At 45.8% G+C, this 14,517-nt stretch overlaps 1 protein-coding gene across 1 annotated transcript in view; it reads right to left on the reverse strand.

Moving 5' to 3' along the window:
- FAM186A (family with sequence similarity 186 member A) overlaps positions 1-14,517 on the reverse strand; it is a 69,301-nt gene extending 54,784 nt beyond the window's left edge. The window contains exon 1 of the mRNA NM_001145475.3: positions 14,201-14,517. Coding sequence (NP_001138947.1) covers positions 14,201-14,392 — 192 coding nt within the window. The 5' untranslated portion in view covers positions 14,393-14,517. The remainder of the gene's footprint in view (positions 1-14,200) is intronic.

Here is a 14,517-nt window from a genome sequence, read left to right on the forward strand (position 1 = left end):
CCCACCCTCTGGAGAAGGTGGACACTGGTCAGTTAACAGATGACATGTTACTTGATGAGCAGTCACTTGATGCCCATGGCTTTCGTTTTAAAGACACATACACATATCACACCACTGCACTCCAGCCTGGGTGACAAGAGCAAAACTCCAACTCAAAAAAAAAAAAAAAAAAGACACACTCTTGTCCACACATGCTTAGAGATACGAGTAGGCTGGTCAACTTAAGCATGTTACTGGCAGAGGGGGTATTGGGGTTATTTTCTAGGGGGAATAGCATGTCACTTTAGCATGCTTTTTAATATATTAATTAAAAATATATATATATGACCAGGCACAATGGCTCACGCCTGTAATATCAGCACTTTGGGAGGCTGAAGTGAGCAGATCACTTGAGGCCAGGAGTTCAAGACCAGCCTGGCCAACATGGTGAAACCCTTTCTCTACTAAAAATACAAAAATTAGCCAGGTGTGGTGGCTCACACCTGTAATCCCAGCTACGCAGGAGGCTGAGGCAGGAGAATCGCTTGAACCTGGGAGGCAGAAGTTGCAGTGAGCTGAGATCGTGCCACTGCACTCCAGCCTGGGCAACAGAGCAAGACTCTGTCTCAAAAAATAAAATAAATAAATAAATAAAAAGCAAAATAGAAGTTTAGATTTTAATAAAATTTGTAGGGTTTCCAAGTAATTTTTACAGAATTTACTTGTTTGCTTCAACTGTCTCCTTCTACCTCTGCTCTTGAAGGAGATGAGGACAGGCCTGGATTTAAAATACTTGTAATTTTGTATCCTAACATCTCTTTGATCCCTTTCTTTTAAGACTGCTGAGGAGTTATTTTTTTCTTTTATAGTAAGAAACAAGGTCGGGCATAGCGGCTCATGCCTATAATCCCAGAACTCTGAATGGCCAAGGCTGGTGGAATTCAAGACCAGCCTGGACAACATGGAGAAACCCCATCTCTATAAAAATACAAAAAGAACAACAACAACAACAACAAAACAAAAAACAATAGCCCCCAGTGTGGTGCCATATGCCTGTGATCTCAGCTACTCTGGAGGCTAAGGTGGGAGGATCACTTGAGCCTGGGAGGTGATGGTTGCAGTGACCTGAGATTGCAGCCACTGCACACCAGCCTGGGTGACAGAGCAAGACTCCGTCTAAAAAAAAAAAAAAAAAAAAAAAAAAAAAAGAGAGAGAGAGAGAGAAAGAAAAGAAACGGCTGGAAGCGGTGGCTCACGCCTATAACCTGTAATCCCAGCACTTTGGGAGGCGGAAGCACGTGGATCATGAAGTCAGGAGTCTGAGACCAGCCTGGCCAACATGGTGAAACCCCATCTCTACTAAAAATACAAAAAATTAGCTGGGCGTGGTGGTGCACACCTGTAGTTCCAGCAACTTGGGAGGCTGAGGCAGAAGAATCACTAGAACCCGGGAGGCAGAAGTTGCAGTGAGCCAAGATCGCGCCACTCAACTCCAGCCTGGGCAACAGAGTGAGACTTTGTCTCAAAAAAGAAAAAAAAGAAAGAAACAAACAAACCCCACCTTTATCCCTACATTCCCCCTACTGGTCTGTGGTTGTTTTTCTGTTGGCTGCAGCAGGCTGGCTGTGGTTTTTCTCTTGCCATGACAACTTCTAATTGCCATGTACAGTATGTTCAAAGTCAGGTAACTCCTCATTGTAAGCAAACTATGTAACTGCCCAGAGCAGCACATATAAACCAGCCTAATGTGAAAAAAGAAAGAAATAGGCCGGGCGCAGTAGTTCATGCCTGTAATCCCAGCACTTTGGGAGGCCGAGGCAGGCGGATCACGAAGCCAGGAAATCGAGACCATCCTGGCTAACATGGTGAGACCCTATCTCTACTAAAAATACAAAAATTAGCCAGGCATGGTGGCACATGCCTATAGTCCCAGCTACTCACGAGGCTGAGGCAGGAGAATTGCTTGAACCTAGGATGTGGAGGTTGCAGTGAGTTGAGATCATACCACTGCACTCCAACCTGGGCGACAAGTGAGACTCTGTCTCAAAAAAAAGAAAGAAAGAAATCCTAAGATATGTACAGAGGCCAGGTGTGGTGGCTCACACCTGGAATCCCAGCATTTTGAAAGGCCAAGGTGAAAAGGTTACTTGAGGCCAGAGTTCAAGACCAGCCCGGGCAACATAGGAGACCCTGTCTCTACAAAAATTAAAAAAAAAATCAACTGGGTGTGGTAGTCCTAGATGGTCGGCAAGCTGAGGCTGGAGGATCCCTTGAGCCCAGGAGTCCAAGGTTTCATTGAGCTATTATTGCACCACTGCACTATAGCCTGGGTGACAGAGCCAGACCATGTCTCTAAACAAAAATAAATAAATAAACTAAAACATGTATGGAGCCACAACAGACCCTGAATATCCAAAGCAATCTTGAGTAAAAAGAACAAAGCAGGAGGCATCACTGTACCTGATTTCAAAATTCAATACAAAGCCATAATAATCAAAACAGTGTGGTACTAGCATAAAAACAGATACATTAGACCAATGGAACAGAGTAGAGGGCCCAGAAATAAATCCACACATTTCACAGTCGATTGATTTTCAGCAAAGATGCCAAAAACAATGTGGAAAGAAGAGTCTCTTCAATAAATGGTGTTAGAAAAACTGGATATCCACGTACAGAAGAATGAAATTAGACTCTAAACTTACACCATATACAAAAATCCACTCAAAATGGATTAGAGTTTTTGTTTTTTTTTGAGACTGAGTCTTGCTCTATTGCCCAGGCTGGAGTGCATTGGCGCGATCTTGGCTCACTGCAACCTCTGCCTCCCAGGTTCAAGTGATTCTCCTGCCTCAGCCTCCCAAGTAGCTGGGATTTCAGGTGCCTGCCTCTATGCCCAGCTAATTTTTGTATTTTAGTAGAGATGGAGTTTCACCATGTTGGCTAGGCTGGTGTCAACCTCCTGACCTCAGGTGATCCACCCGCCTTGGCCTCCCAAAGTGCTGGGATTACAGACATGAGCCACCATGCCCAGCCTGGATTAGATTTAAACATAAAATGTGAAATTATGGCCTGGCGTGGTGGCTCATGCCTGTAATCCCAGCACTTTGGGAGGCCGAGGTGGGTGGATCATGAGGTCAGGAGTTCAAGACCAGCCTGGCCAACATAGTGAAACCTTGTCTCTACTAAATATACAAAAATTAGCTGGGCATGGTTGTACGCACCTGTAGTCTCAGCTACTCAGGAGGCTGAGGCAGGAGAATTGCTTGAACCTGGGAGGCAGAGGTTGCAGTGAGCTGAGATTACGCCATAGCACTCCAGCCTGGGCGACAGAGCAAGACTCTGTCTCAAAAAAAAAAAAAAAAAAGAAAGTATAAAACTACTAGAAGGAAACAGGGGAAAAGTTCCATGACATTGTTCTAGACAATGATTTTTGTATATGGTTCCAAAAGTATAGGCAACAAAAGCAAAAATAGACAAATGGTATTACATCAAACTAAAAGGCTTCTTCATGATTTCACTCATATGTGGAATCTAAAGAAGTCAAACTTGCCGGGCGTGGTGGCTCAAGCCTGTAACCCCAGCACTTTGGGAGGCCGAGGTGGGTGGATCACGAGGTCTCAGGAGATCTAGACCATCCGGGCTAACATGGTGAAACCCCGTCTCTACTAAAAATAGAAAAACTTAGCCAGGCGTGGTGGCAGGCGCCTGTAGTCCCAGCTACTCGGGAGACTGAGGCAGGAGAATTGCTTGAACCCAGGAGGTGGAGCTTGCAGTGAGTTGAGATCGCACCACTGCACTCCAGCCTGGGCAACAGAGCGAGACTCCATCTCAAAAAAAAAAAAAGAAGTCAAACTCATAGAAGCAGACAGTGTAGAACAGTGGTTAGCAGAGGCTGGGGATGGGCAGATTGTGGAGATGTTAGTCAAAGGATACAATTTTTCAGTTAGACAGGAGAAATAAGTTCAAGAGATTTATTATACATCATGATAACTATAGTTAATAACAATACATTGTATACTTGAAGATTGCTGAGAGGAGATATTAAGTGTTCTCACCACAAAAAGAAATGTGAGGTGGCCAGGCATAGTAGCTTACGCCTGTAATCCCAGCACTTTGGGAGGCCAAGGTGGGTGGATCACCTGAGGTCAGGAGATCGAGATCAGCCTGGCCAACATGGCGAAACCCTGTCTCCACTAAAAATACAACAATTAGCCAAACCTGGTGGCACCCATCTGTAATCCCAGCTATAGGGAGGCAGGAGAATCGCTTGAACCTGGGAGGTGGAGGTTGCAGTGAGCCAAGATCATGCCATTGCACTCCAGCCTGAGAGACAGAGTGAGATCCTGTCTCAAAAAACAAACAAACAAAGAAACAAACAAAAAAGATATGTGAGGAAATGCATGCATTAAGTAGTTGGATCTAGCCATTCCGCAATGTATAAATATATCAAAACATAATGTTGTACACCACACATAAACCGTTTTGGTCAACTCAATACAGAAAAAGAACATTTTGGCCGGGCTCATGCCTGTAATCCCAGCACTTTGGGAGGCTGAGGCAGGCAGATCACTTAACGTCAGGAGTTCAAGACCAGCCTGGCCAACATGGTGAAACCCCGTCTCTGCTAAAAATACAAAAATTATCCAGGCATGATGGTGCGCACCTGTAATCCCAGCTACTTGGGAGGCTGAGGCAAGAGAATAGCATGAACCCAGTTTGGGGGTGGGGGGGTTAGGGAGAGGTTGCAGTGAGCCGAGATCGTGCCACTGCACTCCAGCCTGGGCAGCAGAATGAGACTCTGTCTCAAAAAAAAAAAAAAAATTCAACTTATGATTTCATCCCAGATGGATATTGGAAAAAACTTTCAGTTTTTTTTTCTATTCTATTTTTTTCTATTCAGCAAAACAGTTATCAACTTATTAACACAGAAGACTTCCATGATCAGACCAAATGTGGGGTCGGAGGAGCAGATTCTCCCCACCACCAAGCAGGGAACCATTTCTGCAATGGACATCAGGTGGGTGTCTTTTATTTCAATTCAGACACCATCTACCTAGATACAGTGTCAGATCCCATAGGTCGAAGCCTCAGTCCCCAAAACTGCCCCCACTCAGACACCAGTCACAAATCCAGGCCTCCAGAACTTCTGACCAATCAATTTCAATTTGGCATTCCTAAGACTCCCTCTTTTGGTTGGATTAATTTGCTGGGGCAGCTCACAGAACTGGTTTATTGAAGAGATGCTAGGGCAAGGTATTGTGGAAGGGGAATGGAGCTTCTGAAGCAGCTACATTGTCTCTGTTGTATACCTGGGGTTCATCATCTGGTACCAGGAAAATTTAGGACACGAATACACACTAGGAGTTTAGGAGTGGAGGTTTAATAGGCAGAAGAAAAGAGAAAGAAAAACAGCACTCTCAATAAAGAGAGGGAGATCTTCCCAGAGGAAAAGACCGGCTGGTGGTGGATGTGCTAGATTTTATAGTGTGGCTTGAGGAGCTGGTGTCTGATTTATGTAAGGCTCACAGATTGGTTCAATCAGATATGATGTTTACATAGTGCATATGGAAGGCTGGTTGCTTCACCCTAATATTACTATGCAAATGAACTCTCCTTGGCCGGCACCACGTTGTCTCCTCCTTACTGTACACAAGGCTGGCAGAGAAGGAAAGATGGAATCGCCCTCTTGAACATGTCTAGTCCCTAGTTTCTGCTGGCATTCACCCCTGCAAGCTCCCAGCTTGCTGCTCTGTGTCTGCAGCTCGACTTTACAGGCTGCTCTTTGTTAGAAAATGATTTGGGGCTGCTTTTCATTAAAAAGAAAAGCCTTACCAAGGACTCCCATACCCTCACTATCTGCCTACGTGATTTCTTCTTAACTCCTATATCACTTTCATATTCTCTCTGGGCACACCACTCTCCAGGAACCTCCATGTGTTCAACTCTCTGTAAGCTCTCCAAACCCTGTCCTTTGGGTTTGTATGGAGGTTTGATTACATAGTTATGGTTGATTAAACCATTGGCCGTAGATAAGCAGCTTGACCTTCAGCGGCTTTCCCCACCCCTGAAGGTTGGGGGGTGGGGTTGAAAGTCCCAACCCTCTAATCAGGGCTTTGTCTTTCTAATGACCAGTCCCATCCTGAAGCTAGCTGTCAATCATTAGCATACAAAAAGACATCACTTTGGAGATTCCAAAGATTTTAAGAATTGTTATATTTCACAATATCCCAATGGAATAACAGGGTCAAGGTTTATCCTTTCAGCCAGGCGGGCGCAGTGGCTCACACCTGTAATCGCACACTTTGGGAGGCAGAGGCGGGAGGATCCCCTGAGGTCAGGAGTTCGAGACTAGCCTGGGCAACACAGTGAAACCCCCCTCTCTACTAAAAATACAAAATTCAGCCAGGTGTGGTGGCACATGCCCATAATTCCAGCTACTTAGGAGGCTGAGGCAGGAGAATCGCTTGAACCTGGGAGGCGGAGGTTGCGGTGAGCTGAGAATGCACCATTGCACTCCAGTGTGGGCAACAAGAGTGAAACTCCGTCTCAAAAAAAAAAAAAAAAGATGTATCCTTTCATCCTGTCAACTAAGTGACAGTTGACAGTTACCTAAAAGGATTAATGAGAACAATTCACAGACCTCACCTAGGAAGGGGCAATAGTTTCTCCCTAGGAAAAATTAATTTCTTAAAATACAGTGCCTGGGCACAGTGGCTCATGCCTGTAATCTTAGCACTTTGGGAGGTCGAAGCGAGCAGATCACTTGAGATCAGGAGTTTGAGACCAGCCTGGCCAACATGGAGAAACCCCATTTCTACCAAAAATACAAAAATTAGCTGGGCGTGGTGCATGCCTGAGGTCCCAGCTACTCGGAAGTCCGAAGCGGGAGGATCACTTGAGCCTGGGAGGCGTAGCGTAGGTTGCAGTGACACGAGATCGTGCCACTACACTCCAGCCTGGGCAACAGCAGAGGGAGACTCTGTCATTTAAAAAAAAGAAAAAAGAAAAAAAAAATCAGGTGTGATGGCTCATGCCTGTAATCTCAGCATTTTGGGAGGCTGAGATGGGAGGAACACTTGACTTCAAGAGTTAAAGACTAGCTTGAGCACAATAACAAGACCTTATCTCTACTAAAAATAAAAAAATAGGCTGGGCACTGTGGCTCACTCCTGTAATCCCAGCACTTTGGGAGGCCGAGGTGGGTGGATCACCTGAGTTCGGGAATTTGAGACCAGCCTGACCAACATGGAGAAACCCCGTCTCTACTAAAAATACAAAATTAGCCGGGCATGGTGGTGCATGCCTGTAATTCCAGCTACTTGGGAGGCTGAGGCAGTAGAATTGCTTGAACCTGGGAGGTGGAGGTTGCAGTGAGCTGAGATCGCGACATTGCACGCCAGCTTGGGCAACAAGAGCAAAACTCCATCTCAAAAAAAGAAACTTCCTTGGGCCAGATGGTTTTGCAGGTAAATTCTACCCAACTGGCAAATTAATATACTCCTGAGATAGAAGACCGAAGCTGTATCGCTGGCCTTCCCAGATAAAAGCAAACTACTTCTGGTGGGCCTTATTGACAGATTGGAAGAAATAATCATTTGCCAGATCATAGCGGCATACCAGGAACCAGGGAATGTGTTAATTTGTTCAAGCAATGAAGCCACATCTGGTACAGAAGCTGTGACTGGACTTAGTACCTAGTTAAGCTTACAATAATCCACTGTCGTTCTCCAAAATCCATCTGTATTCTTTACAGGCCAAACAGGAAAGTTGAATGAGGATATGGTAGAAATCACCACTAAGGAATCTTTGAAGTCCTTGATGATGGCACTAATTCTTCCAGGAATGGGATATTTGTTTTATTTTTACTGTTTTCCTAGGTAGAGGCACTAGTGGCTCCTATTTGGCCTTTCCCACCACAGTAGCCCTCACTCCACAGGTAAGGGAGTCAGTGTGGGGATTCTGTCAGCTGCTGAGTATGTATATTCCAATTACACATTTTGGACCTTGTGAAATAACCACAGGATGGGTTTGGGGACACACTAGTTTCACTGTGAGATGGGCCTGAGCTAAAGCTTTTTTGATTAATGGGTAGACCACAATAACATTTTGGATCTCCTGGGATTAATGTCAGCTCAGAGCCAGTGCCCAGTAGTCCCCCAAAAGGTCTGATTATTTCCTTTTTCCCAATGCACACTCTGTTACAAGGTCAGCAGAAAAAGTAATAGTATACAGGTAGACCCAGGGTCCTTCTTCAAGAGAACTTGAGGTCCTGTTCACTCAAGGAGCTCTGAGTCTGTCAACTGGCTCAAGTTTGGGAATTGACTGATGGACTCTGACTCGTTTTCATGATTCATGATTCAGGTATTTATTTTCATTCGACCGAGGAATTTCCTACTTGTTCAGATTAAGTAAGAATTTAGTAGGCTTCCTATCTATTCATTTCTGGGAACATCTTGATCAACTAGCCAATGCCATAGGTCAGTGTGAGTCAGACTATTTTGATTGCTGCTTTCCTGCTGCTGTCCATTACAGTAATCATATCCACCTTGCCTTTGGTGGTTGGGTGCCACTACTGGGTCCCAGTTAGGTTTACAAATTCAGTGACTACAGTTCCCACTGTTAAGGTCTGAACTCTAGAGAAGAGTGATCACAGAGCTCTTCAAGGATGCCGGGGCTTCCTTCACTACATTTTTTCTCATACTATTGGTGAAAGGGCCTAGCACAATGGCTCATGTCTATAATCCCAGCATTTTGGGAGGCCGAGGTAGCCACCACCCCTGGCTAATTGTTGTATGTTTTGTAGAAACAGGGTCTCGCCATGTTGCCTAGGGTGGTCTCAAACTCCTTAGCTCAAGCAATCCTTCCACTTTGGACTCCCAAAGTGCTAGGATTACAGCCATGAGCTACCATGCCCTACCTCCTTTTTTTTGTTTTTGAGATGGAGTCTTGCTCCGTTGCCCAGGTTGGAGTGTAGTGGTGCGATTGTGGCTCACTGCAACCTCCACCTCCCAGATTCAAGCAATTTTCCTGCCTCAGCCTCCCGAGTAGCTGGGATTACAGATGCCTGCTACCATATCTGGCTGATTTTTGTATTCTTAGTAGAGATGGGGTGTCACCATGTTGGCCAGGCTGGTCTTAAACTCCTGACCTCAGGTGGTCTGATCCACCCTTGTCGGCCTCCCAAAGTGCTGGGATTACAAGCATGAGCCACCATGCCAGGCCTTATTTTATTTTTTTATTTTTTATTTTTTATATATATTTTTTGAGACAGAGTCTCGCTGTCACCCAGGCTGGAGTGCAGTGGCGCGATCTTGGCTCACTGCAACCTCTGCCTCCCAGGTTCAAGCAATTCTCCTGCCTCAGCCTCCCAAGTAGCTGGGACCACAGGTACCTGCCACCATGCCCGGCTAATTTTTGTGTTTTTAGTAGATATGGGGTTTTACCATATTGGCCAGGCTGGTCTCAAACTCCTGACCTTGTGATCCGCCTGCCTCAGCCTCCCAAAGTGCTGGGATTACAGGTGTGAGCCACCACGCCTGGCCTATTTTATTTTTTTGACAGTCTCACTGTCTCCAGTCACCTAGGCTGGAGTGCAGTGGCTCGATCTTGGCTCACTGCAGCCTCTGCCTCCTAGGCAGATTCTCATGCCTCTGCCTCCCAAGTAGCTGGGATTACAGGCATGGGCAACTGCAGCTGGCCTAGTAGTTTATTTTTTAAAATGAACATTTACTACCTTTAGACTTAGCCATTCCAAGCTTAGGTATTTATTCCAGAGAAATGAAAGCATATATCTGTATAATGACTGGTACATGAATGTTTATAGCAGCTTATTTGTAATAACCCAAAACCAGAAACAGCCCATGCCATGCCATGCCATGGAAAAACACTCAACAATAAAAAGGAATCAACTATTCATATATGCAAAAGTGTGGATGAATCTCAAAATAATTATGCTAAGTGAAAGACGTGAGGCAGAAGAAAGTAGATACTGTATGGCTCCACTTATATAAAATCTAAAATATGCAAACTAATATACAGTGACAGAAGCAGATTGGTGGTTAGCTGGGGATTGGGGGTGGGGGGCAGGGAACAGCATGTGGGAGGGATTATAAAGCAGCATGAAGAAACTTTTGGGGGAAATGGGCAAAATCATTATGTCGATGTGGTGAAGGTTTCACAGGTTTGTTGTTTGTTTGTTTGTTTGTTTGTTTGTTTGTTTGTTTTGAGACGGAGTCTCGCTCTGTCGCCCAGGCTACAGTGCACTGGCGCGATCTTGGCTCACTGCAAGCTCCTCCTTTCCGGGTTCATGCCATTCTCCTGCCTCAGCCTCCCGAGTAGCTGGGACTACAGGCGCCCGCCACCACGCCCGGCTAATTTTTTGTATTTTTAGTGGAGACAGGGGTTTCACCGTGTTAGCCAGGATGGTCTCGATCTCCTGACCTTGTAATACGCCCGCCTCGGCCCCCCAAAATGCTGGGATTACAGGCGTGAGCCACCGCGCCCAGCCGGTTTCACAGGTATTTATGTATATCAATAGTTTTTTTTTGAGACGGAGTCTCGCTCTATTCCCAGGCTGGAGTGCAATGGCGCTGTCTTGACTCACTGCAACCTCCGCCTCCTGGGTTCAAGCAATTCTACTGCCTCAGCCTCCCGAGTAGCTGGGACTACAGTCGTGTGCCACCACACTTGGCTAATTTTTTTTTTTTTTTTTTGGTATTTTTAGTAGAGACGGGGTTTCACGGTGTTAGCCAAAATGGTCTCGATCTCCTGAGCTCATGATCCGCCCGCCCCAGCCTCCCAAAGTTCTGGGATTACAGGCGTGAGCCACCGCGCCCAGCCAGTATCAATACTTGTATACTTTTTTTTTTTTTTTGAGGCGGAGTCTTGCTCTGTCACCCAGGCTGGAGTGCGGTGGCGCAATCTTGGCTCACTGCAAGCTCTGCCTCCCGGGTTCACGCCATTCTCCTGCCTCAGCCTCCCGAGTGGGTGGGACTACAGGCGCCCGCCACCACGCCCGGCTAATTTTTTGTATTTTTAGTAGAGACGGGGTTTCGCCGTGTTAGCGAGAATGGTCTCGATCTCCCGACCTCGTGATCCGCCCGCCTCGCCTCCAAAGTGCTGGGATTACAGGTATGAGCCACCGCTCCCGGCTCGATACTTGCATACTTTTAAAATGTACATTTTGGCTGGGCGCGGTGGCTCACTTCTGTAATCCTAGCACTTTGCGAGGCCGAGGCGGGAGGATCACCTGAGGTCAGGAGTTCAAGACCAGCCTGGCCAACATGGTGAAACCCTGTCTCTACTAAAATACAAAAATCAACCGGGCATGACGGCGGGTGCCTGTTGTCTAGTCTCAGCTGCTCGGGAGGCTGAGGCAGGAGAATTGCTTGAGCCTGGGAGGCGGAGGTTGCAGTGATCCGAGGTGGTGCCATTGCACTCCAGCCTGGGTGTCAGAGCGAGACTCCATCTCAAAAAAAAAAAAAGTGTATTTTGGGCCAGGCGTGGTGGCTCAAGCCTGTAATCTTAGCACTCTGGGAGGCTGAGGCAGGCAGATTGCTTTAGCTCAGGAGTCCAAGACCAGCCTGGGCAACATGGTGAAACCCCATTTATACAAAAAATACAAAAATTAGCCAGACGTGCTGGTGTGTGTGCCTGTAGTCTCAGCTACTTGGGAGGCTGAGGTGGGAGGATGGCTTGAGCCCCGGAGGCAGAGGTTGCATACATTTTATGGTATGCTAACTGTACCTCAATAAAGCTGTTAAAAGCAAACACTGTGTTATTGTTGCTAGTTGCCAGAAGTTGGAACAGGAGAAAGTCTGTGTGAGGAGTGGGAATTTATCGATATTTAGCACTCTTTTTTTCTGTGAGGCAGAGTCTTGCTCTGTCACCCAGGCTGGAGTGCATTGGCACCATCTCGGCTCACTGCAACCTCTGCCTTTCGGGCTCAAGTGATTCTCTTGCCTCAGCCTCCTGAGTAGCTGGGACTCCAGGCAGGAGCCACCACACCCGGCTAATTTTTTGTATTTTTAGTAGAGACCGGGTTTCACCATATTGGCCAGTTGGTCTTGAAATCCTGAGCTCAAGTGATCCACCTGCCTCTGCCTCCCAAGATGCTAGGATTACAGGCATGAGCTACTTACCACACCTGGCCAAGCACTCTGTTTTTTTGTTTTTGTTTTTGTTTTTTAAAAGAATATATAAAATGGGCTGGACGCAGTGGCTCACGCCTGTAATCTCAGCACTTTGGAGTGGGGGTGGGTCACAAGGTCAGGAGATCAAGACCATACTGGCTAACATGGTGAAACCCTGTCCCTACTAAAAATACAAAAACAATTAGCCAGGCTTGGTGGCCGGTGCCTGTAGTCCCAGCTACTTGGGAAGCTGAGGCAGGAGAATCACTTGAACCCAGGAGATGGAGGTTGCAGTGAGCCAAGATCGCGCCACTGCACTCAGCCTGAACAATAGCATGATAGTCTGCCTCAAAAAAAAAAATCTATTTATCTATCTATCTATCTACCTATCTACCTATAGAGAGAGAGAGACAGAGGTCTTACTATGTTGCCCAGACTGGTCTTGAACTCCAGGACTCAAGCGATCCTCCTGTCTTGGCCTCCAAAGTGCTGGGATTACAGGAGTGAGCCACTGTGCCTGGCTAACACTCTTTTTTTTTTTTTTTTTTTTTTTTTTTTAGAGATAGAGTCCCTCTGTCACCAGACTGGAATGTAGTGGCACAATCTATAGCTCACTGTAACCTCAAATTCCTGGTCTCAAGGGACCTTCCCGAGTAGCTGGGACTGCAAGTGCATACCACCACTTCCTGGCTAATTTTTAAATTTTTTCTAGAGACAGGGTCTTGCTTTGTTGCCTGGGATGGTCTCAAACTCCTGGGCTCAAGTGAGCCTCTCACCTTGACCTCCTAAAGTGCTGGGATTACAGGCATGAGCCACTGTGACCAGTTTAGCTTTCCTTAAACATAGGAAAGAACCCCCCCTTAATCAATTTCATCAAACATGACTGATTTTTGTTTGTTTGTTTGTTTTTGAGACAGGGTCTCGCTATGTCACCCATGCTGAGTGGGGTGCAGTAGTGCAAGCATGGTGCTCACTGCAGTCTCCTGGGTTCAGGGGATCCTCTGGCCTCCCAAGGAGCTGGGACTACAGGTTTGAGCTAACATGCCTGGCTAATTTTTTTATTTTTAGTAGACAGGAGGTCTCCTTATGTTGGCCAAGCTGGTCTAGAACTCCTGGGCTCAAGAGATCCTCCTGCCTTGGCCTCCCAAAGCATTGGGATTACAGGCATGAATCGCTGTGCCTGGCCTGATTTTGTTGTACTGCGAGAGAATAAAATGCAGTATAACCTTAATTGTTTGGGGGTCTATTAGATTCTTATGTATTTATTTATTTATTTATTTTTCTAAAAATATAGATGGGGTCTCACTATGTTGACCAGGCTGGTCTCTAACTCCTGGCCTCAAGGGATCCTCCCATCTCAGCTTCCCAAAGTGTTGGGATTACAGGCATAAGCCACCGCACCCGGCTGACATTATGTAAACACTCTTTCTATTCTCCTTGAATTTCTCCTAATTTCTCCTTGAAGTGTACAGGGAAAATAAAAGGAGCTAGAATTCAAAGCCATCTAAATTCTATCTGGCTAATAGCTGTTTGATAAAACCTCCATAGGGAACAAATGAAAACTTTTTTTTTTTTTGAGATAGAGTTTCGCTTTTGTTGCCCAGGCTGGAGTGCAATGGTGCAATCTTGGCTCACCACAACCTCCACCTCCCTGGTTCAAGCAATTCTCCTACCTCAGCCTCCTGAGTAGCTGGGATTACAGGCAAGTGCAATCATGCCCAGCTAACTTTTTGTATTTTTAGTAGAAACGGTGGTTTCTCCATGTTGGTCAGGCTGGTCTTGAACTCCCGACCTCAGTGATCCGCCCGCCTCGGCCTCCCAAAGTGCTGGGATTACAGGCGTGAGCCACCATGCCCGGCTTGATTTATTTCTTAAATGGCTTTATTAAACCTGATATAAAGAGATTAATGTCAAATTGGAGCTTGTTATATCCACAGTCGGTGTCAGGTGAAATTGTCATTTGAAGTCAAAGCTACCCTAAATACAGTCAAATATCATGAAAGTGATTTCTAAAATAAACAAAAATGTACTTGGTCACAGAAAGTTTAAAAAGAAAATTGCAGTCTGTAAACTTCAGATTCACTACCTACCTCTCTGGCTCGATGGAGCTGTGCGCGCTCAATCCTAGAGATGATATCCTTTACTGAGAATGGGATCTCAAGGTTAGGGAGCATCAAAGGACTAAGGATATTTTGGGGCTCTCTTCTCATGATGGTGGAATCCTTGATGCATTTTTCTGATTCAGGGTCATTGTCTATCTCATTTTTCATTTTGAAGAACATTTTGAAAATGTGGGTGATTTCGTTTTATTTCTTCTTTTTCACAGAATCTACAAAAATGCTAATAAAGATATCCAGTAGGAAGCTAGGAGAGGTCTTTCCTGATCCTAGAAGTTGTGGCATACTCT

This window comes from Homo sapiens, chromosome 12 (genome assembly GCF_000001405.40).
Source record: "Homo sapiens chromosome 12, GRCh38.p14 Primary Assembly".
Classification (NCBI taxonomy): domain Eukaryota; kingdom Metazoa; phylum Chordata; class Mammalia; order Primates; family Hominidae; genus Homo; species Homo sapiens.